Genomic DNA, 23540 nt, shown 5'->3' on the forward strand with positions numbered 1-23540 from the left:
GGACTCAAGTGCCTATTACGTAATTCCACAGCGTCCCGGCCTCCAGGCCGTTTCCCGAGCCCTCCAGCGGAGCGGGGGATAAGGTTACCACGCCCGCGGTGGCCGGGGACACTCTGAGTTTCGCGTGTGGCTTTTAGGGACGTTTATATTTGAATTTCCCTGAACCGCCGAGTGTGGGCGGTGGCGCAGATCCGTCCCGGAAACCTCCGGGCTCCTTCCCGCCTTTCTCAGGCCCGGCCCCTCCAAGGGGTCCCCGCGGGGCGGCGGGAGGGCCCTGGGCCCAGAGCCGCGCGGGTGGGCAGTCCCAGGCGTCCTTCCTTACAGCCCTGAGCCTGGTCCGGGAACCGCCCAGCCGGGAGGGCCGAGCTGACGGTTGCCCAAGGGCCAGATTTTAAATTTACAGGCCCGGCCCCCGAACCGCCGAAGCGCGCTGCCTGCTCCCCATTGGCCCATGGTAGTCACGTGGAGGCGCCGGGGCGTGCCGGCCATGTTGGGGAGTGCGGCGCCGCGGCCCGCGCCACCTCCGCCCCCCGCGGCTTGCCTCCAGCCCGCCCCTCCCGGCCCTCCTCCCCCCGCCCGCCGCTCCGTGCAGCCTGAGAGGAAACAAAGTGCTGCGAGCAGGAGACGGCGGCGGCGCGAACCCTGCTGGGCCTCCAGTCACCCTCGTCTTGCATTTTCCCGCGTGCGTGTGTGAGTGGGTGTGTGTGTTTTCTTACAAAGGGTATTTCGCGATCGATCGATTGATTCGTAGTTCCCCCCCGCGCGCCTTTGCCCTTTGTGCTGTAATCGAGCTCCCGCCATCCCAGGTGCTTCTCCGTTCCTCTAAACGCCAGCGTCTGGACGTGAGCGCAGGTCGCCGGTTTGTGCCTTCGGTCCCCGCTTCGCCCCCTGCCGTCCCCTCCTTATCACGGTCCCGCTCGCGGCCTCGCCGCCCCGCTGTCTCCGCCGCCCGCCATGGCGACTGCGACCCCCGTGCCGCCGCGGATGGGCAGCCGCGCTGGCGGCCCCACCACGCCGCTGAGCCCCACGCGCCTGTCGCGGCTCCAGGAGAAGGAGGAGCTGCGCGAGCTCAATGACCGGCTGGCGGTGTACATCGACAAGGTGCGCAGCCTGGAGACGGAGAACAGCGCGCTGCAGCTGCAGGTGACGGAGCGCGAGGAGGTGCGCGGCCGTGAGCTCACCGGCCTCAAGGCGCTCTACGAGACCGAGCTGGCCGACGCGCGACGCGCGCTCGACGACACGGCCCGCGAGCGCGCCAAGCTGCAGATCGAGCTGGGCAAGTGCAAGGCGGAACACGACCAGCTGCTCCTCAAGTGAGTGCTAGCTGGCGGCCGCGTTAGCGCCAAGGAGGGGCGGGGGCGCAACCGCGGCGACCAGCTCACCGGGTTCTGCCGTGGGGAGGGAGCAGAGGCCAGGATGCACGCGTCCTTCTGAAGGAACAGGGTCTCGGTCTCCGGAAAGGAGAAAGAATCTAGAGTTCATAGCGGAGCAGGGGTCGCGGAGGGGGCTCGAGCTGTAGCGCTGGGGGGCCGTGATGCCCATTTCTAGATTTTGGATACCCGCTGGGACGTGGTAAGTGCGCGCCTGGGACTGCCGAGAAGGAGCTCCCGCTTTCGCACTCGAATCCGGGGAGCCGGCGCGGAGAGGCGGCCCCTCAGGCCCCAGGTGCGGGGAGCTGGAGCGCGAGCGCGCGCTCGCGTGCGCGCCCCAGTTTCCGGCCGGCGCGAGACAAAGCGTCTAGCGGATTTGCAGTGCCGGGATGGGCGGCCGGGGAGGACTGGCAGCCCGCCTCTAGAATGAATGAGCTTCGCGCGGGCAGAGAGAGGAAGGGGAGGGACCTTCCCGCAGCATCCGCGTCTCCTGGGGGTGGGTCCCGCTTTGGCGCGCTCAGTCTTGGCCCTGTGACGTTTTGCGAAGATTCTACGCCTGCTTTAGGCGGGAGAGAGAGGCGGAGCTTGATCCGTGCGCCTCCAGCCAGCCCCGGGCAAGTTAGGTTTGCTAGCTGGTTAGCTTTCTCTGGGGAAATGTGTCCTGTCCCAGCGGGGATGGTGCGGTCCCTCGGGTGGTTCTGCGCAGGGAAGGAAAGCTGGGTTTGTGCATGTCACGGCTACCGTTCTTAGAATTGCGGTTCTCCTACCCCTCAGGCAGCGGCCCTCTGTCCCCAGCTTTTGCCTCCTCGTAGTATAGTCAGGCTTTCGGGTAGAGACTGTGCTTAGTACCCCTTAGTCGACCACTGTGCAGATAGTAGACCAGGGCAGGTGACAGGGTGCTGTGTAAATGCTGAGTGTTTGAGCGAAGGAGAGTTTGTAATTCACCTAAGCGAGTGCGAGTTTTCATTCCAGTGCACAAGGATACATTTGCAGACCTTTGCTGGCCTTATTTTGACTTTCTGATAAGCAAAATGGCCTGTCATCAGTAGGCAACAAGTGTTGATGTCATGCTTTAGAGATTTGCAAAATTTGGGTCTGAAATTCATGGTCGCCATTAGCACTGCCAGCTGAAATTTCTGGAGGTACCTTATTCTCACTTTGACACCCTTTGCCCCTGGATGTCTTTCTGTCTGTATCTGCGTGAATGTCCCTGTCCGAAGTCTCTGAGATTTTGTGTATTTTTACTTATCCCTCCTATCATATGTTTTCGGTTCATAAAAAAGCATGTGCACGTGGTAAGAATAAAATAGTATAGACTGGTTTGTAGCGAAAAACGATAACTGCACTACCTCTTTCCGGAGGCAATCACATTTATCCCTTTTTGTTTTTATTTCTTTGGATATTTAGTTATACAACTCGAAAATAATACTAAGCTTGTATTTCCCTTTCTTGGATTTACTAAGCCTTGGTTTCATCTTTTAAAATGAGCAGTCAGTTAACTCACACTATTATTTCTATGTTCCTCCAAATTTTTTGCCACTGAATTCCTTCAAATCTTAGATATCGTTGCTTGTAAGACTTGCCATTATTATGTGTACCACTAAGAAAATAAAAACATCAGGACCAACTGTGTAGGATCCATCCTGTTGGACCCATCATGATGGGTTTCATAGATATTAAAATGTCAAACAGGGCCGGGCGTGGTGGCTCACGCCTGTAATCCCAGCGCTTTGGGAGGCGAGGTGAGCGGATCACTTGAGGTCAGGAGTTCGAGACCAGCCTGACCAATATGGTGAAACCCCGTCTCTACTAAAAATACAAAAATTGGCCGGACGCGGGGGCTCACGCCTGTAATCCCAGCACTTTGGGAGGCCGAGGCGGGCGGATCACGAGGTCAGGAGATCGAGGCCATCCTGGCTAACAAGGTGAAACCCCGTCTCTACTAAAAATACAAAAAATTATCCAGACGTGGTGGCATGCATCTGTAGTCTCAGCTACTTGGGAGGCTGAGGCAGGAGAATCGCTTGAACCCAGGAGGCGGATATTGCAGTGAGCTGAGATTGCGCCATTGCACCCCAGCCTGGCGACAGAGTGAGACCCCATCTCAAAAAAGAAAAAAAATCCGGGCGTGGTGGCGGGCGTCTGTAATCCCAGCTACTGGGGAGGCTGAGGCAGGAGAATCGCTTGATATCCAGGAGGCAGAGGCTGCAGTGAGCCAGATGGTCCACTGCACTCCAGCCTGGGTGACAGAGTGAGACTCCGTCTAAAAAAAAAAATTAACACAGATCAAATATCTGTTGCGTACCAGTCACCGTTCTATGTTAGAGGATATGAAGATTTTTTTAAAAAAATGAATTACTGTTCTTTGTTGCTGAGAGTGTAGTGGGGGAGCTATATCCCAGCAAGTAAAGAAAGATTGTCTTTTGTCTGATGTGAAGCATTTTGATGCTGGCGCTTTTGTAATCTTTCCAGGAGTTAGCCACAGGAGGTTTTTCACACAGTAACAAGGCTGCCACCTGGCTGACAGTAGTTGTAAATGTATCGATTCTAAAATGCATGCTGGTTTCAGCGGGGTTAAAAAATGAGAATAATGTGTATTAGAATCAATGAAATAATGCATGTGATACAATTTAGGTAATAGCAGATGCTAAGGGAATAAAAATAAAGCGGAGTGAAGGGTTAGTGTGATTAAGGAAGGCCTGTCTGAGGAGTTGACAGTACCTATTCTCTGAGGGTTAGTAGTGTTCTGGGATTATATTTTTCTTAAGTCTGTGCTACTGTATGTATATTCCTATTGCCAGGATTAGATGACTCTTCTTTTCCCCCCAACATACCATCATTTGCTCAAAACATGCCACATTTTAGTTTGCTCCTTATTTGAATTAGGACTTTTTTTATATGGATTTATTCCTCAATAGCTTTTCATTTTTCTTGTTAAGAAAAATTTGCCCTCAGTGTGTTTGCAGACTTTTTGAAGATATTTAATCATAATATCTATCACATGAATCTGCTTTCTTCCCTAGAGTTCTCTTTGCTTAAGGTAGGCTGTGTACTGATGTCCTGTAACTTATTAAAGACAGCTTCCTGGCCAGGCACGGTGGCTCACACCTGTAAAGCACTTTGAGAGGCCTAGGCAGGTGGATCACCTGAAGTCAGGAGTTCAAGACTAGCCTGTCCAACATGGCGAGACCCCGTCTCTACTAAAAATACACAAATTAGCCGCGTGTGGTAGTGGACGCCTGCAATCCCAGTTACTGTGGAGGCTGAGGCAGGAGGCATTGCTTGAACCGGGGAGGCGGAGGTTGCAGTGAGCTGAGATCACACCACCGCACTCCATCCTGGGTGTATTTTCCTTTTCCTTGGTTTCTTCATATTTTGTTGAAGAACATCCTTAAGTAATTTATTCAGAAAGGATGGCAGGAGGTAAACTTTCTGAGTCCTGTATGTCTGAAAATAGCTTTGGGCTAGGTATAGAATACTAGGTTAACATTTTTCCAGAACTTGGAAAGTATTATTTTGCCCTATTGTCTTCTGGCATCTAGGGTTGTTAATGTCTTTCTTTTTTTTTTGAGACGGAGCTTGGCTCACTGCAACCTCCGCCTCCCAGGTTCAAGCGATGCTCTTGACCCAGCCTCCCAAGTAGCTGGGATTACAGGTGTGCACCACCACACCCGGCTAATTTTGTATTTTTAGTAGAGACGGGGTTTCACCGTGTTGGCCAGGCTGGTCTCCAACTCCTGACCTCAGGTGATCCACCCACCTCGGCCTCCCAAGGTGCTGGGATTATAGGCGTGAGCCACCATGCCTGGCCTATATTTAATTTTTTATTTGGAACTAGAGTGTTTGTAATTAAGTATAATCATCATTTAGGTAGATTTAGATTAAGAAAACAGCTTTGAGAGAATTATAGATTCCAGGTTACTTAGTTTCTTTTTGGTTCCTCAGCAAACAAGATACCTTAGAGGCAGAGCATGGAAATGCTTGGTCTAAAGAGAATTTGGCAACAGTTTCCATGCAGGTGGTGTCTGAATCCATAGAAAACAGACCTCATATGTAAGGTACAGTTACTTTGATTCAGTCCAAGACTGATTATATTTTGCTGAAAGCTTTTTTGAGAGAACAGTTTCCAAAAATGATGATGAATGCCATCACTCAACACTTTAAACAAAAAGTACAGAGAAATTGACTTGTTTCAGATTTTCACTGTTAACTATACGGGAAAACTAGATATAACAGAAAGTTAAGTGTTTACATCAGTCTTCAATAACTGATTTTGTGGATTCAGACATTTATTTTCCTTCAGTGATACAGGTCCCGTATCTTTTCTGTAAAACCCTGGGGGCCAGATGTGCTTTGGAAGTTAAAGCAATTCCAATTTAAGACGGTAATATGATGCACATACTGGATATGACACCCCCAGTGGGGTTTATAGATAGAGTTAGGGTAGATAGAGTTAGCACTCTATCATGAAACATTTCTGAGGGAAAGATATTGTCATGGCAAGTGGAGAAAGACAGATTGAAAATAGACCTGGTTTCAGGTCAGGTTTTGCCACTAAATGTGTTAATAAAAATTTTAGGTTTTCAAACTCTGGAAGTATAGATAAAAGATGGTGAATTTTTGTTTTTATTTATTTATTTTTTGACACAGAGTCTCGCTCTTTTGCCCAGGCTGGAGTGCAGTGACACAATCTCAGCTCACTGCAACCTCTGCCTCCTGGGTTCAAGCAATTCTTCTGCCTCAGCCTCCCAAGTAGCTGGGATTACAGGCACCCGCCACCACGCCCAGGTAATTTTTATATTTTTAGTAGAGACCAGGTTTCACCATGTTGGCCAGGATGGTCTTGATCTCTTGACCTCGTGATCTGCCCGCCTCTGCCTCCCAAAGTGCTGGGATTACAGGCGTGAGCCACTGTGCCTGGTCAAAAACATGCTAATCTTCTTTAGGAGTGTTTTCTTTGTACATAGGATGATTAATTGAAAAACAAAAACCTTTGGCTGGGCGTGGTGGCTCACGCCTGTAATCCTAGCACTTTGGGAGGCTGAGGTGGGAGGGTCATGAGGTCAGGAGTTCGAGACCAGCCTGACCAACACTGTGAAACCCCATCTCCATAAAAATACAAAAATCAGCCGGGCGTGGTGGTGCACGCCTGTAATCCCAGCTACTTTGGGAGGCTGAGGCAGGAGAATCTCTTGAACCCAGCAGGTGGAGGTTGTAGTGAGCCAAGATCGTACCACTGCACTCCAGCTTGGGCGACAGAGCGAGACTCTGTCTCAAAAACAAAAACAAACAAACAAAAAAACCACAAAAAACAAACCTTCATCATCCTGTGTATTACTATATCTTTTTTTAATGTACTGATTTTGCCCTATTTGAAGCAGATTGACAGTATACATCTTGGCCTTAATATAAGAGTTATCAAACTTTTATATTTTTATAACTTAAAATATAAGAGTTATAAAACTAGTTTTCTTTATAAGAGTTATAAAACTAGTTAAACTGCTTTTCATAGTTCTTTTATAACAGAGTTATGTTAAATGTTACTTTAATTTTCAAGGGAAGACTTGGAAGGACCAAACCCCTAAAAATGATTTAAAAGTCTAGGAAGCAGGTCCCAAGTAATTAAACTGTCATGACATTTCCTTCCCATGCTTTCAAAAGATGTTTGATAAAGCAAGATCTTTTGGAGTTGTTTATTTAACTTAGGGGATGAGACTAGGTAATATTTTGCATACCCAGATTCAAGGAAGTAAACAGGCAGAATGAAAGATAAAGCACTATTAAAATATGGTGGGTCTTTTCTTTTTTGTGTCTTTACACAGTTGCTGGTTATATTTATTCTTTCGTTTGTATAGATGGTGTCACCTCTGATATGTCTGAGTTAGAAATCTTCAGACTTTTTTTTTATGCCATTAGTGTAAGTCTCTTTCATGTACAAATGTTGAGAATGAGCCTCAGGTATCAGTTGAGTAATGGGACCCTGTATAGGTCCCATTATTTTTAGGATCAGGGAAGTTTTTAAAATCAGTTTTAAACCCTTTTTACAGTGTACCTCTTTGATAAGGAGATTGTGCTTTGGCTGTCATTTGATTTTTTTTTTTTTTTTTTTTTTTTTTTGAGACAGAGTTTTGCTCTCGTTGCCCAGGCTGGAGTACAGTGGTGCGATCTCAGCTCACTGCAACCTCCGCCTCCCGGGTTCAAGCAATTCTCCTGCCTCAGCCTCCCAAGTAGCTGGGATTACAGGCATGCGCCACTACACCCGGCTGATTTTGTATTTTTTTTTTAATAGACTTGGGGTTTTTCCATGTTGGTCAGGCTGGTCTGGAATTCCCAACCTTGGATGATCCGCCCGCCTTGGCCTCCCAAAGTGCGGGGATTACAGGCGTGAGCCACCGCACCTGGCCGGCTGTCATTTGAATTTTTATTATTTTATTTTATTTTATTTTTTTGAGGCAGGGTCTCGCTGTGTCGCCCAGGCTGGAGTGCAGTGGTGCGATCTCGGCTCACTGCAACCTCCGCCCCTCCAGGTTTAAGCAATTCTCTGCCTCAGCCTCCGGAGTAGCTGGGATTACAGGCACGTGCCACCACGCCCGGCTAATTTTTTGTATTTTTAGTAGAGATGGGGTTTCACCATCTTGCCCAGGCTGGTCTTGAGCTCCTGACCTCGTGATCCACCCGCCTCGGCCTCCCAAAGTGCTGGGATTACAGGCGTGAGCCACCGTGCCTGGCTTGAATTTTTTTTTTTTTTTGAGACGGAGTTTTGCTCTGTCGCCCAGGCTGGAGTGCAGTGGCGCCATCTCGGCTCACTGCAAGCTCCACCTCCCGGGTTCACGCCATTCTCCTGCCTCACTCAGCCTCCTGAGTAACTGGAACTACAGGCGCCCTCCACCACGCCGGGCTAATTTTTTTTTATATTTTTAGTAGAGGCTGGGTTTCACCGTGTTAGCCGGGATGGGCTCGATCTCCTGACCTCGTGATCCGCCCGCCTCAGCCTCCCAAAGTGCTGGGATTACAGGCGTAAGCCACTGCCCTCCGCCCGAATTTTTAAAAATTAATTTTATTATTATTATTTTTGAGACGGAGTCTTGCTGTGTCACCAGGCTGGAGTGCAGTGGCACAACCTTGGCTCACTGCAATCTCTGCCTCCCGGGTTCAAGTGATTCTGCCGCCTCAGCCTCCCAAATATCTGGGATTACAGGCACCCGCCACCATGCCCGGCTAATTTTTTTTTTTTTTAATTTCTAGTAGAAACGGGGTTTCACCATGTCGGCCAGGATCATCTCGATCTCCTGACCTCGTGATCCGCCCGCCTTGGCCTCCCAAAGTGCTGGGATTACAGGTGTGAGCCACGGTGCCCTGCCTAAAAATTAATTTTTTTTTTTTTTAATAACTGAGTCTTGCTCTGTCGCCAGGCTGGAGTGCAGTGGCACGATCTCAGCTCACTACAGCCTCTGCCTCCCGTGTTCAAGCAATTCTCCTGCCTCAGCCTCCTGATTAGCTGGGACTACAGGCACACGCCACCACGTCGGCTAATTTTTTTTTTCTTTTTCTTTTTCTTTTTTTTTTTTTGTATTTTAGTAGAGACGAGGTTTCACCAGGTTGCCCAGGCTTGTCTTGAACTCCTGAGCTCAGGCAATATCTGCCTGCCTCAGCCTCCCAAAGTGCTAGGATTACAGGTGTGAGCCACGGTGCCAGGCCAAAAATTAAATTTTTTAAACAGCAAATGTATATTCATTATAGAAAAGGAGAAAACACAAACACCAAGAAGAAAATTCTTGGTTGGGCCTTAGGTTGGGCCCAACCCTTAGGTTGGGACCAGCGGCTCATGCCTGCAATCCCAGCACTTTTGGAGGCCGAGGTGGGCGGATCACCTGAGGTCAGCAGTTCGAGACCAGCCTGGCCAACATGGCAAAACCCTGTATCTACTAAAAATACAAAAATTAGCCGGGCATGGTGGTGGGCACCTGTAATTCTAGCTACTTAGGAGGCTGAGGCAGGAGAACTGCTTGAACCTGGGAGGCAGAGGTTGCAGTGAGCCGAGATCGTGCCACTGCACTCCAGCCTGAGTGACAAAGCAAGACTCCCTTTGGGGGGTGGGGGAAAAGATGCAGGAAAAAAAAAAGCTGACATTTATTTTGTGCCAATTCTGTTTGCCAGGCATTACAGTAGATGCTTTACAGACATTATCTTTTTTTTTTTTTTTTTTTTGATGCAGAGTCTGGCTCTGTCGCCCAGGCTGGAGTCCTGGAGTGCAGTGGCACGATCTCGGTTCACTGCAGGCTCCATCTCTTGAGTTCACGCCATTCTCCTGCCTCAGCCTCCCAAGTAGCTGGGACTACAGGTGCCCGCCACTACGCCCGGCTAATTTTTTGTATTTTTTAGTAGAGACGGGGTTTCACTGTTAGCCAGGATGGTCTCGATCTCCTGACCTCGTGATCCTCCTGCCTTGGCCTCCCAGAGTGCTGGGATTACAGGCGTGAGCCACCGTTCCCGGCCAGACATTATCTTTTAAGCTCATGATAACTGCTGATGAGTAAGGAAACTTCAGGCTCAGAGAGTTTAAGTATTTTGCCTGGTATTACTTAGCAAGTAATGAAAGCTAGAAAGGATGGTAGCCTGACTTCTAGCATTGTGATAGGGTGTTCACATACATAACCTTATTTCATCCATACAACAGTGTTCTACAGGTATTACTCTGGTTTACCGACATGTAGCAGGCTCACAGAGCATCATTATCTGTGGTTGGTACTTGAAGTCTCAGATAGGATAGTTGATTTTCAGATCCCTTTGGGTGCTACTTTTGGAAATGCTACTAGTTGCATGTTTTTCACGTTGATAGTTTGTAGCCTTCAAGGGAGGTAATTTTGGATTTGTCAGAAGGGTAGTGGTCAGTAGTTGAAACAGCTGTTTGAAATACTGAGGGCTTCATTTGCTAAAGAAAGGTGAAGATGAATTACTGAAAGAGATCGCTTTTATCTTTTTTCTCTTCTTAAAAAGCTACTTTCCAACTTTATTCCATGCCTTAATAATTTAAAAGAAATTAAAACCTCTAAATAAATCTTTAATACTCATGACAGGGTGTTCTTTCATTCTTTATTCAAGACACATTTTTGTGGAACAGGTACTATATGCCAGGTCTTGAACCAGATGCTGGGAATAGAGAAATGGGATACTCAGTCCCCATTATCAAGTTACTTACAGTCTAGTGGGGAAGACAGAAAACCAACACTACAGGATTGTGATACTGTAAGTGCAGTATACTAATAAAATATATTAAGTGCTGTGATGCCAGTATCCAGGTGTTGCTGTGGAGAAACAAGGACCGCTACCTAAGGCAGGCTAGGAGCCGTGTGAAATTTTGAAAGACATCCCAGGGGAATCTGAGCTAAGTGCAGGGAGGTAAGTAGGGATTTGCTTCTAAATGGAAAATGGAGAGTGAGTTGTCCTGAATGTCAAATAATTTATATAACTGGAGCCATATATATGTGTATGTGTGTGTATATATACATCTTATATGTATATGTTATATATAACATATACTTTATGTATATGTTACTTATATATGAAGTATATGTTATATATAACGTGTGTGTGTGGGGGTATATATATATATATATATATATTTTTTTTTTTTTTTTTTGAGATAGAGTTTCACTCCTGTTGTTGCCCAGGCTGGAGTGCAATGGTGTGGTCTCGGCTCACTGCAAGCTCCACCTCCTGGGTTCAAATGATTCTTCTGCCTCAGCGTCCCAAGTAGCTGGGATTACAGCCGCCTGCCACCACACTCGGCTAATTTTTGAATTTTTAGTAGAGACAGGGTTTCAGTATGTTTGCCAGGCTGGTCATGAACTCCTGACCTCAGGTGATCCACCCACCTCGGCCTCCCAAAGTGCTGGGATTACAGGTGTGAGCCACTGCACCTGGCCTACTGGAGCCATATATATATTTAATACATGGGGTGGGGAAGGGGATTGTATTTTTAGTAATGAGTGGACCCAAGATTTTAAGGCAGAATTGTGACATGATCATTCTGGCTATGCTGTGGAGGGAAAAAAAGAGGAGAGGTACAAACACTAGTAAGAACACTTGGGGAGTAACAAGGCAGCCCTTGAACTGAGGCAGGTGGAAGAAAGGAGAGAAGGTGGATTTAAGAGATACTGAACATAAAGGACTAGGGAGAAGAAAGAGTCTAGGGTGACTGCTTCCATGCTTGGGTGCCTGAGTAGACAATATTGCTCTTAACCGAAATTGGTGGGGAATGAACAGGTTTGGAGGACCCTAAGTCAGTGAATTAGTGGTGTTTGCCGGACTTTAGGTAGCAATGTTAGTTGGCAATTTGAAGTACTCAAGAGACATGGAAAGCATGCGCATATGAGGACTGGGTAGAGAAAGGAGAACCCACAATGGGGATGATAAGTAATAGAGAGGTGAGGCTGGGCGTGGTGGCTCATGTCTGTAATCCCAGCACTTTGGGAGGCTGAGTGTGTGGATCACTTGAGGCCAGGAGTTTGAGACCAGCCTGGGCAACATGGCGAAACCCCGTTTCTACTAAAAATGCAAAAATTAGCCAGGCGTGGTTGCACATGCCTTTAATCTCAACTACTGTGGAGGCTGAGGCAGGAGAATCACTTGAACCTGGGAGGCGGAGGTTGTAGTGGGCGGAGGTTGCAGTGAGCTGAGATTGCGCCTCTGCACTCCAGCCTGTGTGACAGAGGGACACTTCGTCCTAAAAGGTGAGAAAAGAGAGGTGAGTCATGGAACAAGGGTTTTTTGTTTGATGAAGCCTAAAAAGTATCTGTTGTCATTGGTGTTTTTGGTGCCTTAGGTGATTGTTGACTGAGAGGAGAGCCTTTGGTTAATAGAGGAAACCACTGGCCATAATTAAGGGGAGAATGAGAGGAAAAAGATTATGAGTTTAGAATACTTGTTTAAGAATGTTGGCAGTGAAGGGAAGGAGACAAGTTTTTTTTTGTTTTTTTTGTTTTTTTTTTTTGAGACAAGGTCTTGTTCTCTTGCCGGTGCTGGATTGCAGTGGTGCATGGTTCACTATAACCTGGACCTCCCAGGCTCAAGTGATCCTCCCACCTCAGCCTCTGGAGTAGCTGGGACTACAGGCACACACCACCACGACTGGCTAATTTTTTGTGGGGAGAGGGTTTTGCCATGTTTCCCAGGCTGGTCTTGAACTTTGAGCTCAAGCAATCCGCCTGCCTCGGCCTCTCAAAGTGTTGGGATTACAGGTGTGAGCCACTGTGTCTGGCGGGAGGGAGGCATTCTTAAGGGTCAATTTAAACTAGATTCTTACTCAGTGTTTATGTAACAAAACATTGGACAGGGGACCAGAACCCTTATCTCTCTAAGGTTGTGTCCTAAAATGTGATCATTTCACCCCTTTTGGTATAAAACATTTTAGTAGCTTCTAGGGTAAAGACTAAGACCCTACTAATAGTAGGGTGACCATATAATTTGGCATCCAAATTGGGATACTTTTGTGTATGAAAGAGGGAGCTGTTAATAATTATGCAGTGACAGCTCGCATAAATGGAACTTGTCCTTGGCAATCTGGGACATATTTGCCCAGGTTATCCTACCTAAAAGTTCTTTCCCTACATGGGCTGGTCCCAGTCTGACCCTCCAGCTTCATCTCATACCACAGTTGAACTTGTTTACTCCTCTTTAGCCATGAAATCCTTTATTCAGTCCCGTTTACTGTGATCCTCTTAAAATAGGGACTTTGCATTTGGAGTTTCCTTTGAATTTTTTTTTTGAGGACGAGACTTGCTGTGTCTTCTTGGCTGGAGTGCAGTGGTGTGACCTTGGCTCACTGCAACCTCTGCCTTCCAGTTTCAAGTGATTCTCCTGCCTCAGCCTCCTGAGTAGCTGGGACTACAGGCACCTACCAACGAGCCCGACTAATTTTTTGTATTTTTAGTAGAGATGGGGTTTCACCGTGTTGGCCAGGTTGGTCTCGATCTCCTGACCTCATGATCCACCTGCCTCGGCCTCCCAAAGTGCTGGGATTACAGGCGTGAGCCACTGTGCCCGGCCTAATTTTACATTTTTAATAGAGATGAGGTTTCTTCATGTTAGGCTGGTCTTGAACTCCCGACCTCAGATGATCCGCCCACCTCAGCCTTCCAAAGTGCTGAGATTACAGACATGAGCCACTGAGCCCGGCCTTATTTTATTTTATTTTTGAGACAGTCTTGCTCTGTTGCCCAGACTGGAGAGTAGTGAGTGGTATGATCTCTGCTCAGTATAACCTCCACCTCCCACGTTCAAGTGATTCTTGTGCTTCAGCCTCTCCAGTAGCGGGGATTACAGGCGTGCACCACCAAGCCCTGTGAATTTTTGTATTTTTAGTAGAGAAGGGGTTTTGCCATGTTGGCCAGGCTGGTCTCGAACTCCTGACCTCAGGTGATCTGCCTGCCTCGGCCTCCCAAAGTGCTGGGATTACAGATGTAAGCCACCACATCTGGTCTGCTGTGTTATTTTTAATTTGTGCAGAATGCAGGAGTTGTCAGAAGCAACATATGTTATAGCAGAAATACTTACATAGTCCCCAGCAGAACTCAGTAATATACTGTGATTAGTTTTTTTTGCCTATCACACCTTTTGATCACCTATAAAAATAGTACTTTTTCCCACTTACTTTTTTGTATAATTATATAGAGTCTATGCCAGTTGTTAGAACATCAAATCATTTAGGATCATTTTTAAATTAATTTTACCTCATTAAATAAAGAATTACCTTTGGGTACCTTGTGTTTTTCTACAGTCTAGTTGTATTGTATAAGCATTGATAGTTTGGGTATAGAATTCTAGGTTGTAAATGCTATTTTCTTAGACTTTTGAAGGCATGTTTTGGCCGAGGTGGGTGGATCACCTGAGGTCAGGAGTTCGCAACCAGCCTGGCCAACATTTGTACTCTACTAAAAGTACAAAAAATTAGCCGGTGTGGTGGTGGGTGCCTGTAATCCCAGCTACTCAGGAGGCCGAGGCAAGGGAATTGCTTGAACCCGGGAGGTGGAGGTTGCAATGAGCCCAGGTCGCGCCATTGCACTCCAGCCTGAGCGACAAGAGCGAAACTCTGTCTCAATAAATAAATAAATAAACAAATAAACAAATAAATAAATAAAATGAAGACGTGTTCTTTAGTTTTCTAGCTTTCATTGGCTGCAGAAGTAATGATGAGTGAAAAATTTAAAAGCTTGTAGGATCTTCTTTTGATCCAGTTCTAAAATTTCACAGGGATGTTCCTTGTTGTAGATCTCTTTTCATCCATTGTGTTGATCATCTGATTGAATTCTTTTGGTCTTGAAATTTATGTCCTTCAGTTGTTGGAAATTTTCTTGAGATTTTCTCCTCTTTTATTACCATATGAGACTCCTAGTATTCAAATGTTGGATCTCTTACATTGATCCTTTGGTTTTCTTCCCTTTTTTAAAAAATATTTTTTCTCTACTAAGAGATGTTCTCAATTTTGTTTTCCAATTTTTGCTATTGTATTTTAAATTTCTAATAGCTTCTTTTTATTCTGTCTCTTTTTTTTAAAGATAGGGTCTTACCCTTGCCCAGGCTGGAGTGCAGTGGCATGATCTTGGCTCACTACAGCCTCAACCTCCTAGGCTCAAGTGATCCTCTCACCTTAGCCTCTGGAGTAGTTGGGACTACTACTGGAGTAGTTGGGTGTGTGCCACTACACCTAGCTAATTTCTTGATTTTTTTCATAGAGACAGGGTCTTACTATGTTGCTGGTCTCAAACTCCTGAGCTCAAGTGGTCCTTCTGCCTCAGCCTCCCAAAGTGTTGGGATTACAGGTGTGAACCATCATGCCTAGCCTTTTTTATTCCCTTGATGTCTCTTTTTTTGTTTTTGAGACAGGGTCTTGCTCTGTTGCCCAGGCTGGAGTGCAGTGGTGCGATCTTGGCTCACTGCAACCTCTGCCTCCGTGTTCAAGTGATTCTCATGCCCCAGCCTCCCAAGCAGCTGGGATTACAGGTGCCCACCATGACACCGGGCTGATTTTCGTATTTTTAGTAGAGACGGGGTTTCACCATGTTGGTCAGGCTGGTCTCGAACTCCTGACCTCAAGTGATCCACCTATCGCTGCCTTCCAAAGTGCTGGGTTTACAGGTGTGAGCCACTGTACCCAGCCTATTCTCTTCTTGATAGCTCTATAGCATTGTTTTTGTCTAAATTTGATGGATTTGGTTCCTTTTTTTTTTTTTTTTTGGAGACAGAGTCTTACTCTGTCACCCAGACTGGAGTACAGCGGCATGATCCCAGCTCACTGCAACCTCCGCCTCCTGTGTTTAAGTGATTCTCCTGCCTCAGCCTCCCGAGTAACTGGGATTACAGACACGTGCCATTACGCCTGGCTAACTTTTGTATTTTTAGTAGAGATGGGATTTTGCCATGTTGACCAGGCTCGTCTTAAACTCCTGACCTCAGGTGATTCGCCTGCCTCCCAAAGTGCTGGGATTATAGGCGTGAGCCACTGTGCCTGGTGTGTTTGGTACTTTCTCTTATCTTTGCAGAAGTCTTCATTGTCCTTCATAGTCCCTCTTTGCTAAGTTAATTTCTTTTTCTGTTTAGGTCTTTGTGTCATCACTCAGTGCAGGGAACAGAAAGCACTAGGGATTTTTTTTTTTTTTTTTTTTTTTTTTGAGATAGAGTTTCACTCTTGTTGCCCAGGCTGGAGTGCAGTGGCGCGATCGCGGCTCACCGCAACCTCCGCCTCCCAGGTTCAAGCGTTTCTCCTGCCTCAGCCTCCCTAGTAGCTGGGATTACAGGCATGTGCCACCACGCCTGGCTAATTTTGTATTTTTAGTAGAGACGGGGTTTCTCCATGCTGGTCAGGCTGGTCTCAAACTCCCGACCTCAGGTGATCCACCCGCCTCGGCCTCCCAAAGTGCTGAGATTACAGGCATGAGCCACCGCGCCCGGCAGCACTAGGGATTTTAAGCAGAAAGGGAAACAATATGAGATGTAGGTGCTTAGAAATGATTTTTAGAGAGGCTAGAGGAGCAATAATGATGCTTAGAACATTGTTGTAGAACTGACCTTCTTTGGGAGCTTTTATGTGTGAGGCCACCAATGGAACCAGTAAACTGTTTTAAAAACAGTATATAGCTACTATTCAGGACTAGGAAGCTGCCACTGCTATTGCTTTAGGAATAGCTGCCTCATAACACCCAGCAAACTGGAGAATGGACATTGGAACACTGTTTCAGAAATATTTTACACCCAGGTCAGTGCCTAGCACATTGTAGATGAGTGACAAAGGTAGTAGTTATTGGTTTTTCTTTTTCTTTTTAAATGAATCAGTCATTTAAATTAAGACTTAATCTGTACGAGTCTGCTCCATACTCCTGTGCCTGTTTATGTTACAGTGATTTTTTTTTTTGTTTCAAAGAAGTGGTTTTGTGGTCCAGTTTCAATCTCATTTAGTATTTTTCCTAATTTTACCCGAGTTTCAACTAGAGTTTGCCTGAGTCTGATTAGGTTGTTGCTAATTCTTTGACAGATTAGTTTATTCAGTGAGTAGCAGAATTTTATTGGCACCGGAAACTATCCTTTGTAACTTTGAGTTTATGCAAAAGCATCTTCTTAGTCTTTTTGCATATGCCAGAGGAGACCCTTGTTAATAGAAATTGTGATCACAAGGCCGGGCATGGTGGCTCACGCCTGTAATCCCAGCACTTTGGGAGGCCGAGGCAGGTGGATCTCCTGAGGTCAGGGGTTCGAGACCAGCCTGGCCAACATGGTGAAACCCCATCTCTACTAAAAATACCAAAAATTAGCCGAATGTAGTGTCGGGCGCCTGTAATCCTAGCTACTCAGGAGGCTGAGACAGGAGAATCACTTAAACCCGGAAGGCGGAGGTTGCAGTTAGCTGAGATTGCGCCATTGCACTCTGGCCTGGGCAACAAGAGTGAAACTCCATCTCCAAAAAGAAAGAAAGAAAGAAAGAAAGAAATTGTGATCATAAGACCTTCTAGAGTTTTTGTGTAATTTTTTTTTTTGAGATGGAATCTCGCTTTGTTGCCCAGGCTGGAGTGCAATGGAGTGATCTTGACTCACTGCTACCTCCATCTCCTGGGTTCAAGCGATTCTCCTGCCTCAGCCTCTTGAGTAGCTGGGATTACAGGCATGAGCCACCACGCCCAGCCAACTTTTGTATTTTTGTATTTCACCATGTTGACCAGTCTGGTCTCTAACTCCTGACCTCAGGTGATCTGCCTGCCTCGGCCCCCTATAGTACTGGGATTACAGGAGTGAACCACCGTGCCTGGCCGAGTTTTTGTGTATTAAGTTATATTTGTTTTAATTTCGGGGAAGTTCATTAATTTTCCTTTGGAAAAATACTGTGGATCACATCCTTTTTCCCTTTGGAAGGGAAGTTAACATGAGGACAGTGTTGAAGCTGATGAGTGGCTGTTGGAGCAAATGCATGCTTGATAAGCAGTTTGAGCCTGTTACGAAATAAAATTATCTAGTTTTAGGACAAGGTTTTTATGTGGGTATATTTTACTTTAAATTGAAAATAAGGTTTATTTTTTCTCTAAAGGTCTGGAGCATGGCTAGATATAAGAGACATGGCATGTTGATGCTGAGCTCTGGGTGTGAAGAGATCCCCAGACACGGATTTGTGTGATAGTCACTTGAGTACTGCACTAGTGTTGAGTGGTGTTCAGGGGCTACCAGACAGCTGTTCAGAAGAACCTTACAGTATATGAAAGCAGGAACAGAGCTTAGCCAGCTAGGCCTAATTGGCCTGGCTCTGTATGTACAGTGGGTCTGTTTTAAGGGATTTAAAAATCCTTGTTTTGTGGCTTTGATTAGAAATAAGAATTTTGTATAGAATGATTTCTGTTAGCTGATTACAGGTGAAAAACTAAATGGCTTTTCTCTTTCATCTCCTGTAATATATTTGTTTTTCTAAATAAGAATGGGCCTGAGGTGAAATGTTAGGGATAGGTACTGACACAAACTGACCAAGAGAATGTTAACAGGTGGGCAATAATTTGCCGTTACCAAATTAATTAAAACTATTTTGTAATGAGCTTCAGATTATGTTGTATTTGTCCCTGCAAGTTTACTTATTGATTTGTTTCACACTAATTCTTTGTTCCCTGTTTAAGTGGACAATCTTATTTTTTCAAGTGTTTATGGTTGGAATATGCTAACTAATTCCTTTTCCTTTTTTTTTTTTTTTAAATAAGGATCTTGCTCTGTTGCCCAGAGCGACAGTGGCTGGAGTGCCGTGGCATGACCACAGCTCACTGCAGCCTTAACCTCCCTGGCCCAAGCAATCCTCCCATCTCAGTCTCTCTAGTAGCTGGGACTACAGGCACAGGCCACTACTCCCAGCTAATTTTTGTATTCTTTGTAGAAATGGGGTTTCACCATGTTGCCCAGGGTGGTCTCGAACTCCTGGGCTCAAGCATTCTGCCCATTTTGGCCTCCCAAAGTGCTAGGATTACAGGCATGAACCACCGGGCCTGGCCTCCTAATTCATTTTCAAGTAGTTATTGTTATTGCAGGCCTGGAATGACTTTCTGCATGTTATGTATGTGGTATGACTTTTGGAAGAATGTACCCTAAAGTTATCACCTAGTAATGATATATTTCTCTAAGAGTTCCATTGAGGGTTCATTTTCCAGCGATTCTGTGATTGGATGTGGTTTTTTTGTTTGTTCATTTGTTTGTTTTAGATGGAGCCTTGCTCTGTCGCCCAGGCTGGAGTGCAATGGTGCAATCTTGGCTCACAGCAACCTCTGCCCCCCCGGGTTCAAGCGATTCTCCTGCCTCAGCCTCCCGAGTAGCTGGGATTACAGGCATGCACAACCACACCTGGCTAATTTTTTTGTATTTGTTAGTTAGACGGGGCTTCACCATGTTGGATCAGGCTGGTCTCAAACTCTTGACCTCATGATCCGCCTTCCTTGGCCTCCCAAAGTGCTGGGATTACAGGCGTGAGCCACTGCGCCTGGCCCAGGATGCTTTTTTTTTTTTTTTTGAGACGGAGTTTCACTCTTGTTGCCCAGGTGGGAGTGCAATGGTGCGATCTTGGCTCACTGCAACCTCCGCCTCCCAGGTTCAAGCAATTCTCCTGCCTCAGCCTCCCAAGTAGCTGAGATTACAGGCATGCACCACTACGCCCGGCCAATTTTGTATTTTTAGTAGAGACAGGGTTTCTCTGTGTTGAGGCTGGTCTCGAGCTCTTGACCTCAGGTGATCCGCCAGCCTTAGCCTCCCAAAGTGCTGGGATTATAGGTGTGAGCTACCGTGCCCGGCCCTGGATGCATTTTTTAATCTCCTTTTTTTGCCTTGCCCTGTCTTCTTATGGTGCTGACTGATCTCTACTTTCTGACTGGTAGGACTAGTCTGGAGTAGGGTACACCTAGACAAATGAAGGACACCCAGGGAGTGAGAGAGAGTCATCCTCACAGAAGGACTAGTGCAGAGGCCAAGCAAAGTTCAGACACTAAGTTCCAGAACCAAGTAGTTCAATGCAGAAGCCAGGGTTGGAAATGACCTTAAAACAAGTCAAGGTCAAACTGGCGGCATGTTGAACAACCAGCATGATTAAAGCAGCAGAGTATATGGTATTGCTGGTGGTAGAAGGTGCTTAGGAGCATTTTAGAAAGTGTTAACCAACTGGATTTAGATTAGTTCTATAGGCCTCAGGAGAGGATAGGCATGTGTCCCAGATACATGGTACTAGGTTTTATTGGGAAAGTACAACCATAGTAAAGCTGTGTATGTTAGTCTTAAGTCACTGCTGTAGAATGTTAGCAGGAATATAAATATATCCTTTCTAGCTAATTTTCTTTTTCTTTTTCTTTTTTCTTTCTTTTTTTTTTTTTTTTTTTTGAGATAGAGCTTCGCTCTTTGACCCAGTTGGAGTGCAGTGGCACGATCTCAGCTCACTGCAACCTCCACACCCCCAGATTCAAGCGATTCTCCTGCCTCAGCCTCCCGAGTAGCTGGGATTATAGGCATGGACCACCATGTCCGGCTAATTTTTGTATTTTTAGCAGAGATGGGGTTTCGCCATGTTGGCCAGGCTGGTCTTGAACTCCTGGCCTCATATGATCCACCCGCTGCAGCCTCCCAAAGTGCTGGGATTACAAGAGTGAGCCACTGCACCCAGCCTGGCTAATTTTCTTTTTAATGGCCAGATACTTGATTACACCTGGTTACTTGTTAGACCAATAAAATTCAAGCTTACTTGAAATGAAAGCTAATTTGGTTTATTAAGGGAGGAAATTCTTAATTAGCATAGAATGCCAGTTACATTTATAAAACTTTATTTTTTTCTGGTTGCAGTTAGAGTTTGGTTCTTCTGTAAAACATCTAAAGCAAATGGGTATGTTTTGTGACTTATTTTCAGGAGCGTGTATATTTCTAGTATTAGATTCACATGTTGAATTTAACATAGGAAGATCTCCTTATCTGGAATATAAATAGTTTAATCAGGCAGGTGGATAACACAACAAATCCAGTCAGGAAATGGACTCAAAGTAAATGTATACTAATATCTTAAGTGTTAGATAGCTTCTAGTAATTTAGGATTCCTATCTAAATTGCTCTGTGTTTGGAGGCATTGTCAGATGTCATTCTGTGCTTAGGTGATAGCTGCAGCAAGTCCATGTATGTATGTTTTAGGATATCAGTTCTACAGGTTTCTGCACTTTGACTATGTGCTGATAATTACACTTGGACTTTCTACATTATATTGATGAATGAAAAATAATATGGTTAGAAAATTATGACAAGAATATGTTCAGAATATTAACTCACTGCATGGCTCCCCATGTATCCTTGACAACTCATGTGACATAGAAGACTCATTGATTTGGCTGAGTGCAGTGGCTCATGCTGGTAATCGCAGCACTTCGGGAGGCTGAGGCGGACAGGTCACTTGAGCCCAGGAGTTTGAAACCAGCCGGGGCAACATAGGAAAACCCTGTCTTCCCATCTGCCCCAGCAAAATACAGAAATTAGCCGGGCGTAGTGGCACATGTGTATACTCCCAGCTTCTTGGGGGACTGAGATGGGAGGATTGTTTGAACCCAGGAGGTGTAAGTTACAGTCAGCCATGATCGTGGAGGATTGCTTGAACCCAGGAGGTAGAGGTTGCAGTGAGCCGTGATTGTGCCACTGCACTCCAGTCTGGGCAACAGAGCGAGACCGTCTCAAAACAAACAAACAAACAAACAAACAAACAAACAAGCTGGGCGCGGTGGCTCACCGAGCCTGTAATCCCAGCACTTTGGGAGGCCAAGGCGGTTGGATCACGAGGTCAGTAGTTGACCATCCTGGCCAACACGGTGAAACCCCGTCTCTACTAAAAATACAAAAAAATTAGCTGGGCATGGTGGCGGGTGCCTGTAGTCCCAGTTACTCGGGAGGCTGAGGCAGGTGAATGGCGTGAACCCAGGAGGCGGAGCTTGCAGTGAGCCGAGATCGCGCTACTGCACTCCAGCCTGGGCCACAGAGCGAGACTCTGTCTCAAAACAAACAAACAAACAAAAAAACTCCAACTCATTGATTTATTGCTATTGTCTGATGGAGACATGGGTGTAACCTTAAGAATTTTTTTTCATGATTCATTCAGCCTGGGAAATTGGTAGGAAGAAAGAGAGGATACCCATGCATGTGAGTTTTAGAGATTATAGAAGCATCAGTTATTATTTTTTTCTTCTTGGAAGAGACATGATATTTTACATAGGATGAAAAAAGAGAAGTTGTGTGTGTCTGTGTGTGTGATTTTTTTTCCTTCCTGGAAAACACATGATACATTTTACATAGGATGAAAAAAGAGAAGTGTGTGTGTGTGTGTGTGTGTGCGTGTGCTTGTAACATTTAGCAAAATAGTCATTATCTGAGTTTTCTGTGCAGAAGATGTAGGAATAATAAGTCATGGGCCTTGCCCTCAAAGGGTTTACAGTCTCTTGAGGTAGCTAAGCATATCCACAAATACAGGGATTTGTATGATCAATGCACTGTAAGTGCTGTATATGCAAGAGGAAGAGATAGTAGTCAGTTCTTCTCTCTTTATTAGCCACTTCATGATGCATTGACTTTTTTTTTTTTTTTTTGAGACGGAGTCTCGCTGTCGCCCAGGCTGGAGTGCAGTGGCGCAATCTCGGCTCACTGCAGGCTCCGCCCCCTGGGGTTCACGCCATTCTCCTGCCTCAGCCTCCCGAGTAGCTGGGACTACAGGCGCCCGCCACCTCGCCCGGCTAATTTTTTGTATTTTTAGTAGAGACGGGGTTTCACCGTGTTAGCCAGGATGGTCTCGATCTCCTGACCTCGTGATCCGCCTGCCTCCCAAACTGCTGGGATTACAGGCGTGAGCCACCGCGCCCGGCCGCGATGCATTGACTTTTTCACTGTTAATATTGTGGCCTAAGGAGGAAGAGGAAAAATATATGAACACAGAACAATTTGTTTGTGGAGTTAAAGGGCTCACAAGGTAAGGACAGCTGTAAGAACTGTCTGCCCTGAGCTCCCAGTGCAGGTAGCCCCACAAGTCCCTTTTCATCATTTTACTTCAGCATCTGCAAGATAAGTCTTTATGCTACCTAGACAGCTACACACCTAAGTGTGGTGACATGGCCTAGTGCCTGACCCTGAGCAGTAAAGGTACTGAGGGTCCAGAAGAAGGAAGGGAATACTAAAAACGCACTTAGTTGGGACCCTGTCTTATTTATTTATCTTTCTCTTCCTGGTAGTACATAGTAGATACTCAGTAATGTCTGCTGGATTAGGTAAATATGTCTCAAAACTAGGGACCTGGACTGAGCCTTTCCGCACCGTCTCGAAACTCTCCTGTGTACCTGTGCATAAGAGTGCATATAAATGCCACTGTACATTTGTGTGGGTTAGAAAAAGCAAAAGTGTGTTCATAACCTCTTATGAGAAGAGACTATAAATTACTTTGCACCAAGGGCGGTAGCTGACTCTTGAGTTCTCTTCAGTGCCTGGTACAATGCCTGCTGCCCACCTGCTTGTGAAGGCTGTGGTGGCTTGTACAGGCACTGCAGGGCAGATCTAGATTGACTATTTGGGTCTCAGAATAACCTGGGTCCTCTGTAACAGAGGCTGAGTACTTATCTTTTCATGAGTTGTTATATTAAAGTAAAATTGTAAGCA

The 23540-nt window shown here is 46.0% G+C and overlaps 1 protein-coding gene across 7 annotated transcripts in view, besides 9 other annotated features; it reads left to right on the top strand.

Moving 5' to 3' along the window:
• Nucleotides 59-708: a silencer, noted in NCBI's record as "silent region_16285". NCBI's record gives its function as "represses an Ori minimal core promoter by ATAC-STARR-seq in GM12878 lymphoblastoid cells {active_cell/tissue: GM12878}" and the evidence as "EXISTENCE:reporter gene assay evidence [ECO:0000049][PMID:35858748]".
• Nucleotides 59-1143: a biological region, named in NCBI's record as "NANOG-H3K27ac-H3K4me1 hESC enhancer GRCh37_chr5:126112589-126113389".
• LMNB1 (lamin B1) overlaps nucleotides 69-23540 on the top strand; it is a 60398-nt gene continuing 36926 nt past the window's right edge. For 2 of the 7 annotated variants that reach the window (NR_177109.1, NM_005573.4), the window contains exon 1: nucleotides 582-1313. Coding sequence is in view for 3 of the 7 variants with exons in the window: in NM_005573.4 (NP_005564.1) it covers nucleotides 955-1313 (359 nt within the window). In the remaining 4 variants the exon portion in view is untranslated. Of the gene's footprint in view, nucleotides 2006-10753; nucleotides 10770-23540 lie in introns of those variants that run through there. The other 5 variants (NR_134488.1, NM_001198557.2, XM_047417173.1 and 2 more) reach the window with 5 other exon arrangements.
• Nucleotides 343-1143: an enhancer, noted in NCBI's record as "NANOG-H3K27ac-H3K4me1 hESC enhancer chr5:126112589-126113389 (GRCh37/hg19 assembly coordinates)". NCBI's record gives its function as "activates a minimal SCP1, AML or CMV promoter by ChIP-STARR-seq in naive H9 embryonic stem cells {active_cell/tissue: H9 hESC(naive)}" and the evidence as "EXISTENCE:reporter gene assay evidence [ECO:0000049][PMID:30033119]".
• Nucleotides 909-988: a silencer, noted in NCBI's record as "silent region_16286". NCBI's record gives its function as "represses an Ori minimal core promoter by ATAC-STARR-seq in GM12878 lymphoblastoid cells {active_cell/tissue: GM12878}" and the evidence as "EXISTENCE:reporter gene assay evidence [ECO:0000049][PMID:35858748]".
• Nucleotides 1299-1348: a silencer, noted in NCBI's record as "silent region_16287". NCBI's record gives its function as "represses an Ori minimal core promoter by ATAC-STARR-seq in GM12878 lymphoblastoid cells {active_cell/tissue: GM12878}" and the evidence as "EXISTENCE:reporter gene assay evidence [ECO:0000049][PMID:35858748]".
• Nucleotides 1559-1668: a silencer, noted in NCBI's record as "silent region_16288". NCBI's record gives its function as "represses an Ori minimal core promoter by ATAC-STARR-seq in GM12878 lymphoblastoid cells {active_cell/tissue: GM12878}" and the evidence as "EXISTENCE:reporter gene assay evidence [ECO:0000049][PMID:35858748]".
• Nucleotides 2159-2248: an enhancer, noted in NCBI's record as "active region_23026". NCBI's record gives its function as "activates an Ori minimal core promoter by ATAC-STARR-seq in GM12878 lymphoblastoid cells {active_cell/tissue: GM12878}" and the evidence as "EXISTENCE:reporter gene assay evidence [ECO:0000049][PMID:35858748]".
• Nucleotides 3552-3621: an enhancer, noted in NCBI's record as "active region_23027". NCBI's record gives its function as "activates an Ori minimal core promoter by ATAC-STARR-seq in GM12878 lymphoblastoid cells {active_cell/tissue: GM12878}" and the evidence as "EXISTENCE:reporter gene assay evidence [ECO:0000049][PMID:35858748]".
• Nucleotides 3632-3721: an enhancer, noted in NCBI's record as "active region_23028". NCBI's record gives its function as "activates an Ori minimal core promoter by ATAC-STARR-seq in GM12878 lymphoblastoid cells {active_cell/tissue: GM12878}" and the evidence as "EXISTENCE:reporter gene assay evidence [ECO:0000049][PMID:35858748]".

This window comes from Homo sapiens, chromosome 5 (assembly GCF_000001405.40).
Source record: "Homo sapiens chromosome 5, GRCh38.p14 Primary Assembly".
In the NCBI taxonomy this organism is placed as follows: Eukaryota; Metazoa; Chordata; class Mammalia; order Primates; family Hominidae; genus Homo; species Homo sapiens.